This window comes from Homo sapiens, chromosome 2, assembly GCF_000001405.40.
Source record: "Homo sapiens chromosome 2, GRCh38.p14 Primary Assembly".
In the NCBI taxonomy this organism is placed as follows: domain Eukaryota; kingdom Metazoa; phylum Chordata; class Mammalia; order Primates; family Hominidae; genus Homo; species Homo sapiens.
This window is the reverse complement of record NC_000002.12, coordinates 99,569,638-99,590,622: the sequence shown is the minus strand read 5'-3', so window position 1 is coordinate 99,590,622 and position 20,985 is coordinate 99,569,638. Positions and strand designations below refer to the sequence as shown.

The 20,985-nt window shown below is 45.5% G+C and overlaps 1 protein-coding gene across 28 annotated transcripts in view, besides 1 other annotated feature; it reads left to right on the top strand.

Moving 5' to 3' along the window:
- Positions 1–20,985, top strand: part of AFF3 (ALF transcription elongation factor 3) — a 597,172-nt gene that overhangs the window by 551,968 nt on the left and 24,219 nt on the right. For all 28 annotated transcript variants that reach the window (NM_002285.3, XM_047444286.1, NM_001386135.1 and 25 more), the window contains 3 exons: positions 3,345–3,469; positions 7,624–7,825; positions 12,172–12,296. In NM_002285.3, the coding sequence (NP_002276.2) occupies positions 3,345–3,469; positions 7,624–7,825; positions 12,172–12,296 (452 nt within the window). The remainder of the gene's footprint in view (positions 1–3,344; positions 3,470–7,623; positions 7,826–12,171; positions 12,297–20,985) is intronic.
- Positions 17,910–18,411: an enhancer, noted in NCBI's record as "NANOG hESC enhancer chr2:100188674-100189175 (GRCh37/hg19 assembly coordinates)". NCBI's record gives its function as "activates a minimal SCP1, AML or CMV promoter by ChIP-STARR-seq in naive H9 embryonic stem cells {active_cell/tissue: H9 hESC(naive)}" and the evidence as "EXISTENCE:reporter gene assay evidence [ECO:0000049][PMID:30033119]".

Here is a 20,985-nt window from a genome sequence, read left to right as displayed (position 1 = left end):
CCCATTGCCCTGAGAGTGCTCACATATAATGGAAAGTGTGTGGATTTTCACACCAAAGTGTCCTGACTTCAAATCCTGTCTTTACCGTTTCCCTCCTGCAGGTCCAGCTTTTCATGGGCCCCATGCATGGGACCATAGTGGTGTGCATCACCCAGGGCCCCTTGGAATTGAATGCTTGTGGCTGCCATCTTAAAATTTTTCCTGTAATCTTTGAATTTGTGATGCTGCAAATTGATGGTACATGTGCAGGGGCATATGGAGCTTTGACTCACTGTGTTCCCACCTCCTGCCTGTTTCTGCAGGGCAGGTTCTGCCTGCGCTTCTGCCTCCTGGCACCCTGGGCCCTAGGCAGCCTCCCACTTCCTGTCTTAGTCCAGGGACTATTGCTGCCCTTGCCCCAAGAAGGGGCCTAGGTGCAGGCAGAGGAAGAATCTTGCCCATCCCTCATCCAGGTAGTAAGACATTCCAAAGAGGGTCTTGAAATCCCCTGGGGGTTGCCCACTTGCTGTGGGTTGTTGGGGAAATGCCTGACAACTCGGGCACCACAGGTAGGGCCTCTGATTGGCAGAAGGGGAACGCCCACACTGGTGGGCTGCACACATATACCTTGTCCAAGGGCAGACAGAGCCCTTGAGAGGCTACACTTGCCTCCCCAAGTATCCCCATGCCCAAAGAAGTACAGTGTGTATAGCAAATACTGTAGACACCTCCATGACAGAGACTGTGAAAGAATGGAGAATGTTTTCTATTTGAGGGCTTTATAACATCACTCTTTTCCTGCTTTTTGAACAAAGGGCCCAGCGTTTTCATTTTGCGCTAGACCCAGAAGGTTATTTATGGTCCTTGGCCTCCTCAGTGACCTTAATCAGGTGACCTTACTTTCTCTGAACATCAGTTTCTCCATCTAGAAAATGCTGACATCTGGGCCGGCCGTGGTGGCTTACTCCTATAATCACAGCACTTTGGGAGGCCAAGGTGGGCAGATCACGAGATCAAGAGATCGAGACCATCCTGGCCAACATGGTGAAACCCTGTCTCTACTAAAAATACAAAAATAGCTGGGCGTGGTGGCGCGTGCCTGTAATCCCAGCTACTCAGGAGGCTGAGGCAGGAGAATCGCTTGAACCCTGGAGGCAGAGGCTGCACTGAGCTGAGATCATGCCATTGCACTCCAGCCTGGCAATAGAGTGAGACTCTGTCTCAAAAAAAAAAAAAAAAAAAAAAATGTTGACATCTTTGCAGGGGTGTTGTCAGATTCACACAATATGTTCCAACAATGCAACTCAGTAATACTTGGCAGCTCATTTTCTTCCCTACCTGCTATTCCTCCTGTTTTTCTCTACACACCCTGTCTTCCTTACTACTTGCTGGTGCTCAGTCTTTGTTGAGTGTAGGAATCAATCAATCAGTTAATCATCTGGGAATGAGTGTGGCTATTACCTCTGGGATGGATGGCTAACTGAATACGCTGATGGAAATATACACATGAAATATGCAGAGATAGACATTGGTAATATATAGACAGATTGGAAATACATAAAGCCATCCAGGCATGCAGAGTTTACTAGAGAGATGTGCAGAAAGACTTACATAAAATTCCGTAATATTCTGTGTTTAAATAGTTGTATTACTTATGGCCATTTTTATTTTAACTTAAGAAGCTTCATTTACAGTAAGCCTGACACCTGGCTGTACTCATAAAATCTAAAGAATCATTAAACACAGACACAAGAGAAGTGAAAGAACATTCTTATAGTGCTCTTTACTTGGTATTCTGGGCATTAGTACCCCAGTACTGGGTGCTGGAGATGGGACCCCATAGACCTGGCTGTCAAATTTGTGGAGTCTCGCCCTGCTGGAGCCCTGGAGCTAAGGACTAAGAACTCGGAGCTTTGGTTTGGGCCCTCCATGGGGGTACTATTACAGTGTGGGCATCTGGGAGCCCCTGTGGCAGAGGCTGTGTGGCAAAATCCCAGCCAGAGCGAGAAAGTCAGAGTCTTTCTCTCTTTGGTGTTGGCACTTGTCTCCTGGAAAACAATGCAGACAGCCCTGAGGATACCATACTAGGTTCCTGTTATCTCATGGAAAATGGTACTTTCTGAATATATTTGTGTTGCACCTTAACACATATCTAAAGTTAAACACAGGCTGGCCTGATAGCTGACACCTGTAATCCCAGCACTTTGGGAGGCCAAGGTGGGAGGATCGCTTGAGCCCAGGAGTTTGAGATCAGCCTGAGCAACATGGCAAAGCCCCGTCTCTACAAAAAATACAAAAAATTAGCCAGGCATGGTGGCACACACTTGCATTCCCAGCTACTTGGAAGGCTGAGGCGGGAGGATCACCTGAGCCTGGGAGGTCGAGGCTGCAGTGAGCCATGATCGCACCACTGCACTCCAGCCTGGGTGACAGAGCAAGACTGTCTCTAAATAAACAAATAAAATTAAACCCAATCATGGCAACAAGGATCCAATCAAAGTACTGTTTTAGAAAAAGGTACTTTATGGATTCTAAGATGTCATGGGATAGTAATTGAAAACTAGAATTAAGGCACCAAGAGATAATAGCTTCTGCTTGCAGTTCACAAAAGGCAATAATTTTTTTTTTTTTTTTTGAGACGGAGTCTCACTCTGTCACCAGGCTGGAGTGCAGTGGCGTGATCTCAGCTCACTTAAATCTCTGCCTCCCAGGTTCAAGCGATTCTCCTGCCTCAGCCTCCCAAGTAGCTGGGACTACAGGCGTGCACCACCACACCTGGCTAATTTTTTGTATTTTAGTAGAGATGGGGTTTCACCATGTTGGCCAGGATGGTGTTGATCTCCTGACCTCGTGATTCGCCTGCCTCGGCCTCCCAAAGTGCTGGGATTACAGGCATGAGCCACCGCACCTGGCCAAAGCAAGAATTTTTAAAACAGAAAAGTCCAGGCTTGCCACTGCCCTTATGGCATGAATCCCAGAGAACACACACTTGCTGTACTTTATTCTGATACCAAGAAATGCCAAGGTGAGTGCCGCTGGAGCTGCAGTGGGAACTCAGACCAGTTGGAGGGCTAAATCCTAAGCCGGTTGATGGCAGAGCAGCTTTCAGAATTCAAAATGTTGAATCATGGCGTCGTGCCTCTCCTCTCCATCAGCTGTCAATTGTAAAACTGACAGATTTCATCCTTGCTTGTTGAGGAGCTAATGGGGAAGCTATGGCAGGGGCACAGCTGCTCAGGCTGTGCTTCGGGGAAGCCAGGTGAGTGGGGCTCCCAGGAGGCCTTGCTCTGTGGAAGTCGGTGCCTGGGAACTCATAATACCTCTTGAAATCCAGTGCTGATTGACTTTAGTTTATTCCCATACAGTGTGACAACGAAGACGACTACAGGGAGATCAAGAAGTCCCAGGGAGAGAAAGACAGCTCTTCAAGACTGGCCACCTCCACCAGTAATACTTTGTCTGCAAACCACTGCAACATGAACATCAACAGGTACGTGCATTCCCTCCAAAGTGGAAGTGAGCTGGAGAGATCTCTGGGTCTGAAAGTCACCTGCTATGTTGGAGGAGGGTCAGGCTTTTTGAGGACTACTCTGGTCAAGGTCTGCAGACTTGCTTCCCTCCTTTAACCCAAATCTTATTATTATGGCTACACATGTGCCACACATTATAGCTCCAGATACTCACGCAAGGTTCTTCTCCATAACCAAAGACCAGATACTAGTTACACACAGCTCTGCACTCCCCAAGACATGCCCTTCCCCCAAAAAAACTTAATAACTGAATTTCTAATCAATATTTTAATGGTAACCGCTAAACTCCTAAGAACACTAAGCTTATTACACAGACGAAGAAATACACACTTCAAGCTGAATCTCCATGTGTAGCACCTAAAGCAATTAATTGGATATAGACTAAAATTGTGGCCTTAGAAGGGTCCGTGCTCCCAAGGTTAAATGGCCACCCACACACTCCTCTCAAGAGGTTCCAGATGGACGCATCCAGCACTGACTCCCCTCTGTGATGAATGGCTTACAAGCAAAGCAAGATCCCAGGTATTTATTAGAAACAAGTAGCTTATCATCAGTCGTAGAAGCTCTTTCCATTTTGAAATACCACAGCACGGAAACCACTTTTCCTCTCTAAGACACTCCTCACCCTCCCTGACCGTATACATAGAATTTTGAAGAGAGATGAATGTCTCGGCACAACACATAAAAATGTAAACTGAAAGGTTAGGAAAAGATGTAGAGCAGTGCTAAAACTTGGCGAGGGAACTGGAGGGTGAGGGTGCACACACACAGGCACACTGCAGCGCCGGAATCACCTTGAAAGGCGAGGGCTCCTGTGGGTCTGAGCAGGAGGGAGGGCTGCCCCTGCATGCTGCCCACTCCTCGGTCCTCTTTGCAGGGTGGATGCCAGCCCAAAATATTGGGAAAGGGGAAATGGGGAAAATGTAGTCCCCAAATATTTTTAAATGTGTGATATCCTTTAGTGCTTGTTAATGCACTAAATAACCTTTCTAGCTGATCTGGTGGCTTCCAGAATTTCTAAGCAGTGAGGAATATAAACCGTATGTATGCACAACTGCAATATGATATGAAAATAGCTGTGATTTGGCCGGGTGCGGTGGCTCACGCCTGTAATCCCAGCACTTTGGGAGGCTGAGGCGGGCGGATCACAAGGTCAGGAGTTCAAGACCAGCCTGGCCAATATGGTGAAACCCCGTATCTACTAAAAATATAAAAAAATTAGCTGGGTGTGGTGGCACACTCCTGTAGTCCCAGCTACTTGGGAGGCTGAGGCCAGAGAATCGCTCAAACCCGGGAGGCAGAGGTTGCAGGGAGCCGAGATTGTGCCATGGCACTCCAGCCTGGGCGACAGAGAGGTTCCATCTCAAAAAAGAAAAGAAAAAGAAAAAAAGAAAATAGCTGTGATTTATACCGGTGACACGGTCTCAAGTGTTGTACTACTGCTCCTGCTAAACCATGACTCTGGTTTCATACCTTTACTCATAGTTGAAGGAAATGTTCTGTTACAGTGAGAGGTTAGTGAAAATGAAGAGGTCACTTCTCTATTCAAGTTATTGGACCCCAGGTTAAAAAACTCTTGCTCTAGAGACTTAGCCTGGAAGAGCCTCTTAGTTCTGATGGTTTTGTTGCTGTTAAGTGGTGACACAATGCATATAAAATGCTTAGAGTACATTCTGAGAAAGGTGGTCTGTGTACCTCTGGAATTGTGATTACTACTATCAAGTTTTACCAGTGCTGTACAGCAGTCCAAGAGAAGGGGATTGCCAATTTCAAAGAAGAGCTCCAAAGAAAGTTTCTTTGGCCAACTTGAATATATATATAAACTTGCAGTGATGAAAAACAGGCAATCATGATATCCATGATAATATTTAATGTCACAGTTTTGTTTTCCATGCACTGTAAAAATCATAAAGTATGTCAAATAATAGAGACTGAGGAAAAGGTCTTTCTTCACTCACATTTCGAGAAACAATTATAATCAGGCTGTTCGCATTATCTTCAGCATCAGCATCTTAGCCATCACTAGATGAGCAACTTTTGATTCTCCCAAAGCACTTTTGCGTGACACAGCCTCTATGTTGTTAGACACACCGTGCTTTTGGAACAGTGCTTTTCACCAGAAATGCTATCCCCACATGTATCCATTTGCATAACATTCAGAACCTTGGTTTTGTCATTTGTTCTAGAGGTCTGTGTTTGTAATTTCTCCACTGTGACCACCAGCTAAGGAAATTGCTTTTCGAAGTGACTTTAGTGGCTTCTTTGCGGTGATAACCAACACGTGCAATTAAGAGATCCCAACCCCAAGAATAATGAGTAAATCTTTGTTAGATGGCTTTACCATTTTTTAACTGACTCTACCAGGTGACCTCTGGAAGTATCCTAAATTAGTGATGACTGAGTTTATTTCAAACTAATCTGTCTTCCCCAAACAATACTTTTAAGTAATAGAGGCCTAACAATATAATATACATTGCAAACTCAGATATAAGTGAATCCCTCTTCACTGATGGTTGATTTTGGAGAATGTTACATTCAAGCACAGACAGTAGTTTTGAAGGTAAAATAAGGAGTTAGGAATCAGAAACTGTAACTTCTACTCACCATTTTTATTTATTATTTTATTTATTTATGTATTTATTTTGGAGACGGAGTCTTATTCTGTCGCCCATGCTGGAGTGCAGTGGCGCAATCTCGCCTCACTGCAACGTCCACCTCTCCCAAGCGATTCTCCTGCCTCAGCCTCCTGAGCTGAGTAGCTGGGATTACAGGCATGCGCCACCACACCCGGCTAATTTTTGTATTTTTAGCAGAGAGGGGGTTTCACCGTGTTGGCCAGGCTGGTCTCGAACTCCCGACCTCAAGTGATACGCCCACCTTGGCCTCCCAAAGTGCTGGGATTACAGGCGTGAGCCACCACACCCGGCCTCCTACTCACCGTTTTTATATTCTAGGTTTAATCTGATCAATCCCTGGTTAAGTCATAAACTCAGATATTAAGAATTGGCTTCACATATTGCAGGTTGTTCTCTGGTTTTATTATTTTTCTATATTATATTTAGTACAAGCTCAGATGAGATAGCAAAAGTCTTTTTAGAAATGTGGAATATGGACTGGGCACGGTAGCTCACGCCTGTAATCCCAGCACTTTGGGAGGCCGAGGCAGGTGGATCACCTGAGATTAGAAGTTCAAGACCAGCCTGGCTGACATGGTGAAACCCCGTCTCTACTAAAAATACAAAAAGTAGCTGGATGTGGTGGCAGGCACCTGTAATCCCAGCTACTCGGGAGTCCTCGGGAGGCTGAGGCAGGAAAATCACTTGAACCCAGGAGGCAGAGGCTGCAGTGAGCCAAGATTGTGCCATTGCACTCCAGCCTGGGTGACAAGAGCGAAACTCCATCTCAAAAAAATAAAAAATAAAAAGAAGTGTAGAATTTGGCTGGGCACGATGGCTCATGTCTGTAATCCCAGCACTTTGGGAGGCCGAGGCACCTTGAATCCAGGAGTTCGAGACCAGCTTGGGCAACATGGTGAAACCCTATCTCTACAAAAAATATGAAAAATTAGCCCGGTGTGGTGATGCATACCTGTAGTCCCTGCTACTCAGGAGGCTGAAGTGGGAGGATTGCCTGAGCCCAGGAGGTTAGGGCTACAGTGAGCCAAGATCCTGCCACTGCTCTCCAGCCTGGGCAGCAGAGCCAGATCCCGTCTCAAAAAAAGACAGAAATGTAGAATTCATTTATTGTTGTTGATTGACTTTCCCACTGCTTGCTCCTTATGCTTGTTAGGAAAACAGTAAGTTGTTTGTTGGGTATTTTGAGATCCTTGGATAAAGGACTTGGAAAATGAAGGTGTTATTAGTCTTAGTCGTGTACTTTGGTGCTGGCTCCAGAATTACTACTCATCCTGATGGGAAGAGAAAAGAAAGAGTGAGTGAGATTTGCTTATTGTTTGTTATGATCCTAATGCCATTAACTTGTTTCCTGGTATAATAATTCCCAATAAGCTTCTCCTACCAACAGGTCCCAGTTGGGTGGTTTGGGTCATATGAAAACATTTACCTTTCCCTGTGCTGACTCTGTAACATTCCATTACCGTAATTTCCTTTTTCAGTGTGGCAATACCAATAAATAAAAATGAAAAAATGCTTCGGTCGCCCATCTCACCCCTCTCTGATGCATCTAAACACAAATACACCAGCGAGGACTTAACTTCTTCCAGCCGACCTAATGGCAACAGTTTGTTTACTTCAGCCTCTTCCAGCAAAAAGCCTAAGGCCGACAGCCAGCTGCAGCCTCACGGCGGAGACCTCACGGTTTGTTGATGCTCTTCCTTTCCCAATTAAAACCAAAATGAAATTGAGCACCCCCAAGCTCTGTCTCTAACCTAGCACAGTCTGAACACATGCTTGAGGTCCCTTGAGAATTCCTGAATGCCTCCCGCTTCTAGGAAGACCCAACAGAGGACAGCCCCCTTCACTGTCCCAACAGAGAGCGGGGAAGAAGAACCCTGAGGGAGAGTTCTAACCCTCGGTTGCTTAGGCAAGATTTTATTTTTCCTTCTGAAAAGAAAAGACCTCAAAGTAATACCATCCCGGGACAAAGTAAATTAGGAGTTTGAACCAACCAATCTTTCTGTTGGGAAAAATTTCTTATCCCAGGGCAGAGTTAAATCTGGGATTGAAACCCCACACTGAAAGCTACAGGGCCCCCACTCTGCCCTTATTGGCCAGTGTCGCAGCTGCAGTGGGGGACCCCCACCACCACCCCTTTTCCAGTGATCTCGGGTGATTCCAGCACGCCCCAGGGGAAGAGCAGGGGACTTGGGTTCACAATCTGACCTCACCTCTTAGCTGCAGTGTGATCTTGGGCCAGTTGCTTAATCTCTCTGCTCCTGTTTCTTTACCTGCAAAATGGTAGTGATAAGACTTAAAAGAGACAATATCATGAAAAGACCCCGACCGGGCGTGGTGGCTCATGCCTGTAATCCCAGCACTTTGGGAGGCTGCGGCGGGCGGATCGCCTGAGGTCAGGAGTTCAAGACCAGCCTGGCCAACATGGTGAAACCCCATCTATACTGAAAATACAAAAATTAGCCTAGCGTGGTGGCAGGCGCCTGTAGTCCCAGCTATTCAGGAGGCTGAGGTAGTAGAATTGCTTGAACCTGGGAGGTGGAGGTTGCAGTGAGCTGAGATCTCGGCACTGCACTCCAGCCTGGGCGACACAGCAAGACTCTGTCTCAAAAAAAAAAAAAAAAAAACTCCAACACCTAGGGACGCCTAAGCAACTAACACTACATGTTAGTTCCTCTTCACTGCCATGCCAGCCTCTAACAGCCAGTGGTCCTGGACCACTCATCCTTTCAGGAACATTAGTTACTTCCAAACCCTCCCCTGTCATAATCACTGTGCCTATCACAACCAGCTGGGTGGCCAAGCGTGGTGGCACATGCCTGTAATCTCAGCTACTCAGGAGGCTGAAGCAGGAGAATCGCTTGAACCTGGGAGGTGGAGGTTACAGTGAGCCGAGATTGCACCACTGCACTGCAGCCTGGGTGACAGAGCGAGACTCTGTCTCAAAAAAAAAAAAAAGAACAGGATTCTGCAAAGAAAGATGAGAAAGATGAGGGAGGGAGCAGTGTGTAACACTTTATCCCATGAATTAAAGATTATTACAAGTTGCTGGAAGTTCCCACGAGAGCCTAAATCTTACAGCATCCTCAGGAAATGAACCTTTTTTGTGCACCCTCACTTGGGAGCAGTGGTCTTTAATTCTAGACTGAAAGAATTGGGGAAGACCTATATTAGAAAAACATGGAACAAAAAGCCACCAACTCAAGTTTTTTTATTTCCCTCTATATCCTTATATCATGAGCAACTATGATACGCAGAGAACTATAAACCAATTGTAGATTTTATTTAGTTATTTTTCACCGAAGAGGTGCTCATTCGGTAAGTACTTATTACGTGCTGGGCACTGTGCTGAGCACCAGAGATGCAATAACAATCCAGCGGATCCCATTTGTGCCCCCATGAAGCTTACAGTTCTAGGGAGAGAGCCTTATACAGGGGATCACACACATGCATGATTCACCACCAATGGTTTCAGTACTAAAAAGGGAACTCACAAAGAACTAGGAGCTCTTATAACAAAGCAGCTTGAATTAGTCCTAGGAGTGGCAAACTTTCTGCAAAGCAGGTTTTTTGGGTTTTTTTTGAGACGGAGTCTCGCTCTGTCACCCAGACTGGAATGCAGTGGCGCGACCTCGGCTCACTGCAAGCTCCACCTCCTAGGTTCACGCCATTCTTCTGCCTCAGCCTCCCGAGTAGCTGGGACTACAGGCGCCGGCCACCACGCCCAGGGCTAATTTTTTGTATTTTTTTAGTAGAGACGGGTTTTCACCATGTTAGCCAGGATGGTCTCGATCTCCTGACCTCGTGATCTGCCCGCCTCAGCCTCCCAAAGTGCTGGGATTACAGGCATGAGCCACCGCGCCCGGCCTCTGCGAAGCAGGTTTTCACATTTTGGACTGAGTAATTACTTGTGGTGGGGCTGTCCTGTGCAACGTAGGATGTTTGGCAGCATCCCTGGCCTCCACCCAGTAGATGCTATGAGCACCCACTCGCAGTGGTGACAACTAAAAATGTCTCCGGGCATTGTCAACTTGCCCCAGTTGAGAACTGCTGCTGTAAAGAGTCAGATAAATAATTTAAGGGTTTATGGGCTGCACAGTCTCCATCCCAGCTACTCAACTCTGCTGTTGTAGCAGGAAAGCAGACAGTAGATAAATACATAGGCAGGATTGGTTTACAGTAAAACTTTATTTTAAAAAAAGGGCCAGATTTGACTCCCTGGCCATAGATGGCTGACCCCTGATGCGAGATCTCTAAAAGGCAAGTCACCATATACTAAGAGACAAAGAGCATTACAGGCAGAGGAAGCAGCAAGTGCAGAGGTCCCGAGAAAGAACTGCACACGCTCATGAATCTGGGGAACAGAGGCCACAGGCAAAGAATGGCTGAGGGGCCACTTGGCTGGGATCGCTCCTTTTACCAAGAGCAAGCAGAGGCCACTGGAGGAGTTTAAGAACAATTTTAAAATGTTGACATCTGAGCTTCCTGGTCTTCTATGACAGTAGACTCTAACCCTTACAGTGCTACACGTAAAAGCAGTCCCTATTTAAAGAAGCATTTGTATACACTCAATTTAATTACTTCAGAGAAACCATTTGCATTTCCTAACCACTGACATTGTTTTATGATCCATGTGTTTGGCACACAATAGGTGCCATGTAAATGTCTGTATCCCAAGTAATGTGATTTTTAAAACTTTTCCACAGACTAGTGTGTTCCATATATATATATATACACACACACATATGTATACATATATATTTGAGATGCAGTTTTGTTCTTGTCCAGGCTGGAGTGCAATGGTGCAGTCTTGGCTCACTGCAACCTCCACCTCCCAGGTTCAAACGATTCTCCTGCCTCAGCCTCCTGAGTAGCTGGGATTACAGGCACCTACCACCACGCCTGGCTAAATTTTGTATTTTTAGTAGAGACAGGGTTTTGCCATGTTGGCCAGGCTGGTCTTGAACTCCTGACCTCAGGTAATCTACCTGCCTTGGCCTCCCAAAGTGCTGGGATTACAGGTGTGAGCCACCATGCCTGGCCTAGAATTTATTTATTTATTTTTTTTTTTTTTTGAGACGGAGTTTCACTCTTGTTGCCCAGGCTGGAGTGCAATGGCATGGTCTCGGCTCACCGCAACCTCTGCCTCCAGGTTTCAAGCGATTCTCCTGCCTCAGCCTCCCGAGTAGCTGGGATTGCAGGCATGTATCACCACGTCTAGCTAATTTTGTATTTTTAGTAGAGACGGAGTTTCACCATGTTGGTCAGTCTGGCCTCGAACTCCTGACCTCAGGTGATCTCCCTGCCTCAGCCTCCCAAAGTGCTGGGATTACAGGTGTGAGACACCGTGCCCAGTCGATTTATTTTTTAAGTAATTCCTAGTGATTCCTGTTGACTCCTTCTGGTCTTCACAGACAGCCAACAAGAACCAGCAAACCTGTGAGATGAGTGACTGGTTGACTGTTGAGATGAGTGAATGGTTCTGAAAGCGTGGTTCCAGGATCATGGGTGATTACAGCATCCGCATCACCGGGAACCAGATGGAAAGGCAGATTCTAGGTCCCCACCCCAGCCCTGCTGAATCCCAGACTCTCAGGGTGGGGCCTGGCAATCTGTGTTTTCACCAGCCCCCTGGAGGATGCTGATGAAGACTGAACTGGCCAGCCTCCAGTCTAGCGGACTGGGAAAAGTGGGCATCTAAACCCTAACCCCTGGCCTCCACCACAGTCACTGAGTGTGGGCAACTTGCTGAACCTCACCAAGCCTGTTTCTGGATCTGTGAGAGTAGGCGTCATGACTTCCCTTTTGATAGTGTCATAAGAATGACAGTTGAGAACACAGGTAGAAGCCCTCAGCAAATACCTAGAATGCATGTATTTCTTTATTGAGACAAAATCACCATCAATTCTAATACAGCACACAAAGATGTTCTGTAGAGCCAAAGATATTCTACGTATGTATGTATGTGATGGGCTGCTCGCTTCACCAGGTGGCCAATTTCTCAAAGATGTGTGTTGTTTGTTGTTTAGAAAGCAGCTCACAACAATTCTGAAAACATTCCCCTCCACAAGTCACGGCCGCAGACGAAGCCGTGGTCTCCAGGCTCCAACGGCCACAGGGACTGCAAGAGGCAGAAACTTGTCTTCGATGATATGTAAGTTCAGACGCTTTTAAATGTGGTGAGGGGCAAGACAGAACAGAAGCTGCTCAGGTGGAAGGGGCATGGGCACCTTGGTGTGGCCACCTTCAGCTACAGTGCGGCCTTTTTTTCCCCTGGGACTTGGTCATTTAAATGTCCCTCTTGAATGGAATTGGAGCCTTAATTTTGAGTGCACGCCTGAGTCCTGGTGGGGTTTTTGGGTAGACGGAATAATCAGTGCTAATGGGGTTGGATCCAGGACATCAAAAAACAAAGGCAAATAGCATTAATGAGTCTTACACTTCTAAGCACTTGTACTTGGGCTGTTGGCGGTTTTATGCTACTAGAAAGAGAAGCATTGTTGTTTTTGTAAATTATAATAGGCAATGAATAATAGTGTTTTACTCCTGAAAGCTTTTTTCCTCCAACTGCTATATTCTTTATCATAGTATAAATGATTCTTATATAGGAAGAAAAATGCCATCATCCTTCACCCAATTCTAGCACTTTCAGTTTCACACAAGTATAACTTCCATTCCCAGCATCATTTTAAAAGGAGGAAAAACAAGAGGAGAAGATGAATAAAAACAACATCCTGGAATGCTCTCGAGAGGCTGAAAATGACAAATGAGAAATGATAAAATGATGCTGAAAATTATTTCGGCTCGTAGGGAAAATGTATGTGTCAAGGACAAGCCTGGAAGGCAGAAGAATCCTCTTTTCAGCTTTAGCAGTCCTACGGGCGTCAAATACATGGCTGGGTGAACAAGGAAAAATTCAGCTCTGGGGTGGAGCAGCAGCAGAAATAGGCACTTCTGCCCTCTGAGGGCTTCCAGTCCAGCTGAGGAGCAGACTACAAACCACTAACCCCACTGGACACTGGAAAATAAAATGGCTCTACATGTCCAAGAGTCCCAGTGACAAATGCCACAGCTCGCTCAGCGGGGCCCTCCTAGGATCCATTAAATGCCGTCTCCTAAGGGGTGTCACATGGAGCACAGAAAGCACCATGCAGGGGTGGCTACTCCAGCCTCATCGTCCGCCCCGCTCCTCCATCCCTAACTGCCACCCGGAGTCTCGGCATGATCTATTTATTCACCTCTGTACAATTCCCTGGGAAATTTAAAATACTAAGTTTTAGTCTTCAAGTATTGCATGAACTCCTGTAAGCTAATTAGGGCACAGGGTTTTGGGGGTGAAAGCCAAATCCACATTTGTTGTTTGTTTTGTTAAATGAACACATTCCAAGGTAACTGGGTTTAGGAAGGCTTGAGGGCAGCCCAGGAGGGCATGTGTGTTTCTTCTCTTCCTGTGGTGGCAGCTGCGTCCCACCCCACACACACTCCTGGCCCTCACCACCCCGCTTCCTCTCACTGTCTTCATCGCCTTTGCCAAGCAGCCAGGGAGGTAGGTGGTGATTAACCCCCCAGGGAGGGCATGGAGTGGGAGTACAGTCAGGTGGCCAACTACATTTATAATTAGGGTTCAGTGATATAAATTGTTCATGTGAACTTCAGCCATTTGTAAAAAGAAGAGATTAAAATTGTATATAAGGATAACATAGAAATTTGCATTTGGAAGTCATAACCCAACAACATGATCAAACAGAAGGAGCATTAGACCCTGAGGTACTCACACCACCGCATACTTGCAGTGGGTGGTTTTGAGAGCATGGTATATACACACAAAATACAAACACATATGTCATATTAAAATGCAAGGAATTTTCCAGTGTATGAACCAGAAAGCTAGGTCAGAAACAGCAACAACTAAATGATTGTACTTTGATCTACAGGTACTTGGACTTTTTTTTTTTTTTTTTTTTTGAGACAGGGTCTTGCCCTGTCACGCAGGCTAGAGTGCAGTGGTATGAGCATGGCTCAGTGCAGCCTCAAACTCCTGGGCTTACGCTATCTTCTTGCCTCAGCCTCCTGAGTAGCTGGGTCTACAGATGCATGCTACCACACCCAGTTAAATTTTTTTTTTTTTTTTTGTAGAAAAAGCGTCTCACGGCTGGGCGCAGTGGCTCACACCTGTAATCCCAGCACTTTGGGAGACTGGGGCAGGTGAATCACTAGGTCAGGAGTTCAAGACCAGCCTGGCCAAGATGGTGAAATCTTGTCTCTACTAAAAATACAACAATTAGCCAGGTGTGGTGGCAGGCACCTGTAATCTCAGCTACTCCGGAGGCTGAGGCAGAGAATTGCTTGAACCTGGGAGGTGGAGGCTGCAGTAAGCTGAGATCGTGCTACCACTCTTCAGCCTGGGCAACAGCGAGACTGTGTCTCAAAAAAAAAAAAAATCATGTCTCACTATGTTGTCCAGGCTGGTCTCGAACTCCTGGCCTCAAACAACCCTCCCACCCCAGCCTCCCAAAGTGCAGGATTATAGGCGTGAGCCACCGTGGCTGGCAGCCCTTGGACTTTTTATAAGAGGAAATGTTTCTTAATCTGCTATGGCTGAAACTAATATAATCTTGTCACTATTGGTGTCAACAAAGAGGCTGTTATCATTTGTTCTTCCCATTAGCAATGTGTATAATTTTCCTGGCTGACAGCTACAATGAAACTGTTTCTCCTTTTATGGATATAGATATAATAGAATAAAAAAACACTGTTACATATCCATCATATGGAGAGATAGATGTCGCATTCCAATTGCCATATGTCCCAACTGATTTGAAATCCATAACAGTAAAATAAACATGCAACTCAAACAGCCACTCAACCATCGAACTAAGAAAGTTGTGGAAAGATTCTTCAAGCTTGAAAAGCAAAAATAGGCCAGGCGCGGTGGCTCATGCCTGTAATCCCAGCACTTGGGGGAGCCGAGGTGGGTGGATCACTTGAGGTCAGGAGCTTGAGACGAGCCTGGCCAACACAGTGAAACCCCATCTCTACTAAAAATACAAAAAAAAAAAAAAAAAATTAGCCAGGCACCTGTAATCCCAGCTACTCAGGAGGCTGAGGCAGGAGAATCACTTGAACCCAGGAAGCGGAGGTTGCAGTGAGCCGAGATCATGCCATTGCACTCCAATCTGGGCAACAAGAGTGAAACTCCATCTTAAAGAAAAAAAAGCAAAAATAGGCATCGTCTCTTCCTTTAAGCAGTAAAAATAAGCAACCTTCAAGAGATCACTGGGCTAGAATGTCACCTAAAATTGTGCAAAACGTCTCCCAGGTTCCTTTTGGTACATATGGAGCACTTACTAAGTGCCAAGTACAGGCACAAGAGCTGAAGTATAATGATTAATTAATTCTCAGTTCTTCAGGGGAGAGAGAGGCACATGATGACCTCTCCAGGAAGGTTTCCTAGGATTACTAAATTTAATTCTCGGCCTCCTTCCTGCCCACCTCCATTCTGTGCCAGCTTCCCCACCAGCAGCCTCAGTGACAGAGGAAGACCTCAGCCCTGTCACCTCCCTTGACTTCTCTTCACCGAGGGTGAAGAGTGAACTTCAGCCATTTGTAAAAACAAGCAGTGAAATGACCAAAGAGAGGCCACCAGTGGAAGAAAAGACTAGATAATTAACACTGGAGTGATTTCGAGTTGATGGAAATCCAGTTACAGTGATCCAAAAAGTAACAGATGCCACACTGTCATTTAATTTTTAAAGCCGCATCATGCAGCTTTTTTAAAAAAGTAAACTCATCTCTTTGTATTATAAATACTTGTTAATGGTTGAATAAACATGGGATTCAGACAACAGCTGAAGCCAGTAGGCTCTCAATAACAAGTGTTGAATGAACCCAGCTGAATTATAAATTACATTCCCAGGGAAGAGTGCCTGCAATTTTTTTTTTCTATGACTATAAGGAATCTACATGCAGGTGAATGTAAATTAATGGGTTTCCAAGCCCGTTTTCCTAGGTTACTTACCAAAAAATCAGCCGGGCGTGTTAGCATGTGCCTGTAATCCCTATAATGCCTGTAAACAGGCACCAGTTAGTTCCTTTGGGATACAGACAGAACTGAGAAGAATAACATTTATTTTTAAAAATGTAATCAGGTCAGCCTGTCCTTTGTATGTTGTGGGCTCATATTGGTGGCAGTGTGACCTCACCTCCTCCCCTGACATTAAGCAAACGCACAACATTCACTACTTGACAGCCACAGTATTAAGGTGACACTAGTGTGGTTATCAAACTTTTGTTTAAAAAACGGATCTGTAAGAATTTGTGTCAATGAATGACAACACTTGATTCAACTTGAGGCCTAGAAACTGATCTTATTAGTGCAAAGCCATGAGCTGTAAGTTACTTGGTATCATAATTAGTGACAGGGGAATTCTTGGCTGGGGAAAATTGAGAGAGAACAACTGTGTCATGAAGGCCTCCGTACAGAAGTCCTGAACAGGGCTAAGTGGTGGTGAGATGCTTGGCTGGAAAACCACCTCCTCCATCCTGCCCACCGTTCTGCTGTGCTAGGAAGCCAGAGAACCCCAGGTGCCAGGGCTGCCTGCCGCTCCCTGGAGGAAGTGCTGGCTGCTGCCTGTATGTCACATGGAAAAGTCAGTCACAATCAGCACATTCAGCCAAACCACCAAACGTCCCTTCTGTCCCCATGGTGCCCGTAACAGGAGCCCGGCTACCTGAACCTCCCGACAGTGAGGAAAGACTGACTATAGACGCCAGGCGCTGAAGGCCATGGCATGTGAAATGTGGCCGGGAGGAAGGAAGAGGGACTTGACATTTGTAATGTACTTGCACAGCAGTCTCAGAGCTAAAGGATTTTAATTTTATAGAGGATGGGAATACTCGCATATTGTAAAAGGTTGAATCCCTAGCAGCATGATTTAGTCAAAGGACACCAATTAAGATCCTTGAGTAGGCGAAATTGCAGCTGGGAAGGCGCTCCCCCACCAGGGGCTTGCAGTGGGCATGTTCTCTTGAGGGTCTCCTCTCCTAGTCCTTTCAAAGCAGGGACCCTACCTTTTTGTTTTCCTGATTAATCATTAAGCCTTTATTGGTCTTCATATGGAATTTCTCCCATTATGAAATCCCTGTCTCAAGGCCAGGAGCTTCTTTTGTTCTAACCAAAACAGAGTGAGAGAGTAAGAGTGAGTGAGAGAGAGAGAGAAAGAAATGAAGTAGGATTTGCAAAGGGGTGCGGGGGACAGGGTGCGGAGACAAGGACATTCAGATCTCCTGGATTGAAATCTCAGCTGTCCAATCATCTTTAGGGTTTTGTAAGATTATTTTAAATGTCACACTCAGAGAAAAACAACCATCAGATTGATAATTTCCCATTTCAACAGAAAGTTACTTTTGATTCAACACCCGCCCCACTTAGCCTGAGCGTCCTGCAGAGCAAACCCTGCCTTCTGTGGCCGGCTGAGAGGGAAGCAGTCCTGTGGCCTGAAGAAACAGTGAATGACCGCTTGTGCCTGGGAGAAGCCCGGTTCCAGGGACTCTGAGCCCCAGCCGACATCAAAGTTGTGGAAATAAAAGCTGTGTTTGAATCCTTGCTACCCAAATGCAATCTACCTGGATCTGTGGGGAAGTGCCTATAAAGGCAGTGCCAGCATCCTGGAGTGGCTGACTCTGAAGTGCCCTCATCCATAGTCTTCACTGACTCTGTGTATTAAAAATAATTACTTAATTTCTTATGCATTCTCCTCAAAGCTTGGGACATATTAACACCTCTGGGGCTTATCAGATGACAAGCTGACATATCGGATAGCAGATGATGAATTCATTTGGTATGCAGTTGCCTATTTGTCTGATTTGGATTTCAACTTCCCTAAGAAAATCATCCAATTTCTGCCGCGCCGAGGAACTTGTTGTTCAAACACATTGAGCTCTCATCCCTGCCAGTTTTCACAAAACAGGCTGGCTCTACTGAGGGCGGCATTTCACAGAGGTAGGAATTACAGAAAGGAGTCTGCCAGGCTCTCCGTGGGAGACCATTCAACTCTATCCCGGCCACAAAGGAGAACAAAAAGCAAGGTTGCTTTAATATTCCCATGCCAGAAGAAATATGGGGGTAGCTCAAACCCTGATGCTGCTGAGAACCAAGACCGTGTGTTTCTAGGTGGGGGGGGGGGGGTGGTGGGAGGGGGAAGAGAAGAAAAGAAAACATTCTATTTGGATCAAGTGCTCAGAATGCTTTTGTTGGAGAGAGCTCTCATAATGAAGATGCATGCAGCTAAGCTCTGGCTTTCAGATCACTCAAGCCCCGTTTCTGAAGAGCCCATGATTCACAGTTAGTTCCATTTATGGTGTTTAATTAAACTTTTATTAGGTTTGCTCATGTGTCATCATAAAATACCATCACTGTGGGAAACAATGGGAAGAATTTTATTACACAAATGAAAAATGAAAACTCTAGGTTTTCCATGTTAAAAAAAAAATAGAAGATTAGATGGAAAATCTATTTGAACACTCAGATAAGATCTCATTTTAGTACCTTTGCTGTATTATATTCTATAACTGTCACAATGGTGACAAGCAATTTTACTTTTCCTACTGACTTGTGTATTGCTGTCAGAAGGGATGCCTTTGTGATTCGTGGCAAGGCTGGACACTGGGTGACATCCCATTGGTCCTGCTGGCTTTATAATGATCTGCTCTGGAAGTACAGCACTAGAAATCACTCGAAAGGAGAAAATGGGCCAATCATCAGGCAATCTTCAGTGACTCATTATAGTGAGCCCTCCATTCTATGCAAAGATGAGAGTTCTAACAAATGTGTTCGTTAAGTGGCCTCCAGATGGTACCTATGCTATTAGCATCTCAGGTTACTGCTCTGATTATAGCTGCTCTGATACGGTCAGAAAATTAGGTGTGTTACTTACCCACATGTGCTATGGTGAGAGTCTGTGACTCAGCCTCCATATCAGGATTTAAAAATATGCCCCTATGCTGCAGATGAAAACAATATTGATTAAGGAGCTTATATTAGGAATTGTGAGCCACTGCCATCCATAAGGGTAACTTAGAAGGCTGGTGGAAACTAAGATACCATAGCTTATTACCAAGATAATCCTTTAATGAAATGCATTTGAAGTAGTGAACTGTTAGTGACAAAACAGGGCAAGAAAAAAAAAATGACCTAACTTATATACTAGAGTATAGAACAGATAATGATGTGGAGAATTTCAGGTTGCCATGGAGACACTCTCTGGCTCATTGGATGCGATGCTGCACCCCATCGGAAGGCACCACTCTTTTCTAAGCTCAAAATGAATTCAGTGCCATTCATTCAAGGGAGACCTGCTTACCTTCTACCGTGTGCCAAAAACTACAGGGTGGGAAAGATCAAAGAAGTCTACAGCATGGTCCTTACTAAAAACGTACCAGCAATCAAGTTGCACACATGCCCAGTACAGCTCAGAAGATAATGAAATACCAAGTGTAGTAAACAAGAAGTGCTGTGTGAGCTCAGGAAGGACAGAGGGGAACATGGACCAAGGTTACTCGGAACGCCTTACGGCGGGGGAAATTGAGGGCCAGGCAACATTCGGCTCCTAGAAGGCACTCAGTGAATGAACAGAGAGGAGAGTGTTCCAGGTGGGGGAAGTGATGAGCAGAGCTCCTCGGACCAGGATGCCATGTTATCAAGACAATGAGGAGCCACCTCTGACTTTGGTCAAGGGCCTTCGTGAGTAAGCAATATGATTAAGTGGGTTGGGCAAGATTATTGGGGATCTGAACTGAGATTTTATCTCGTAGACCCTGGAGATTGATTTTAGGTCTGTGAGCAGGATGGTGATGTGATGGAAGCCATGTAATCCCAGCACTTTGGGAGGCCGAGGCAGGTGGATCACTTGACCTCAGGAGTTCAAGACCAGCCTTTGCAACATGGCAAAACCCCGTCTCCACTAAAAATACAAAAAGTTAGCCAGGCATAGTGGCACACACCTGTAGTCCCAGCTACCTGGGAGGCTGTGGTGGGAGGGTCGCTTAACCCCAGGTGGTTGATGCTGCAGTATGGGTGATTGTACCACTGCCCTCCAGCCTAGGCGACAGAGTGAGAACCTTTCTCAAAAAACAACAACAAAAATAACATCAATTGCCAGAGTTGGAACCAAAGACCAGACAATATATGGACATTCTTACAATATGTGTCAATATGTGGACAAAGAAGGAAAACTCACCAAGGCAACAACAAAGCCATTCATATGGAGAAAGCATGGGCACCCAGGAGATGCAAGAGAGAAAACGGAGTGGCAGGAGCAGGGCCTTCCTAGGAAGGAGACCTCAGGCCTCACCCTCAGTGAAAGACCCACCACAATGAATGGACGGCTCCAGCCCTCAGAGGGGGGCATGGGGATGGGGTGAGGAAACATTTTGACCCCAAAACTATGCTGTGATTCTGGTTTGTTTGATTAAAATGCAATGTCATTGTCACACATTGCTTTTCTAAGCGTTTTGACCTCTTTGGATACATGAATGTTCTGACTACCTAATATTACAATAAGGTAAAAGACCCATTAGGATCTGAAATAAGGCAGTTCAAAATAAGCATGTAATCATTGGCTAAACAGTCCATGATTAATATCACTACTTCCGTCGAATCTCCCGTTCAGAGAGTCCTGGCTTATATTTGATATTCATGAATAGGTCAAGTTTATTGATTATATAAAGTTTATGCTGCCGGTGCCTAAAAATGTCATTTTTTTAATCTATCGGGCTAAACACTTAAAGATACTGTCTAATGAGTACCTTAGCGTAACTGGGCCTCATTACACACACTCAAATCA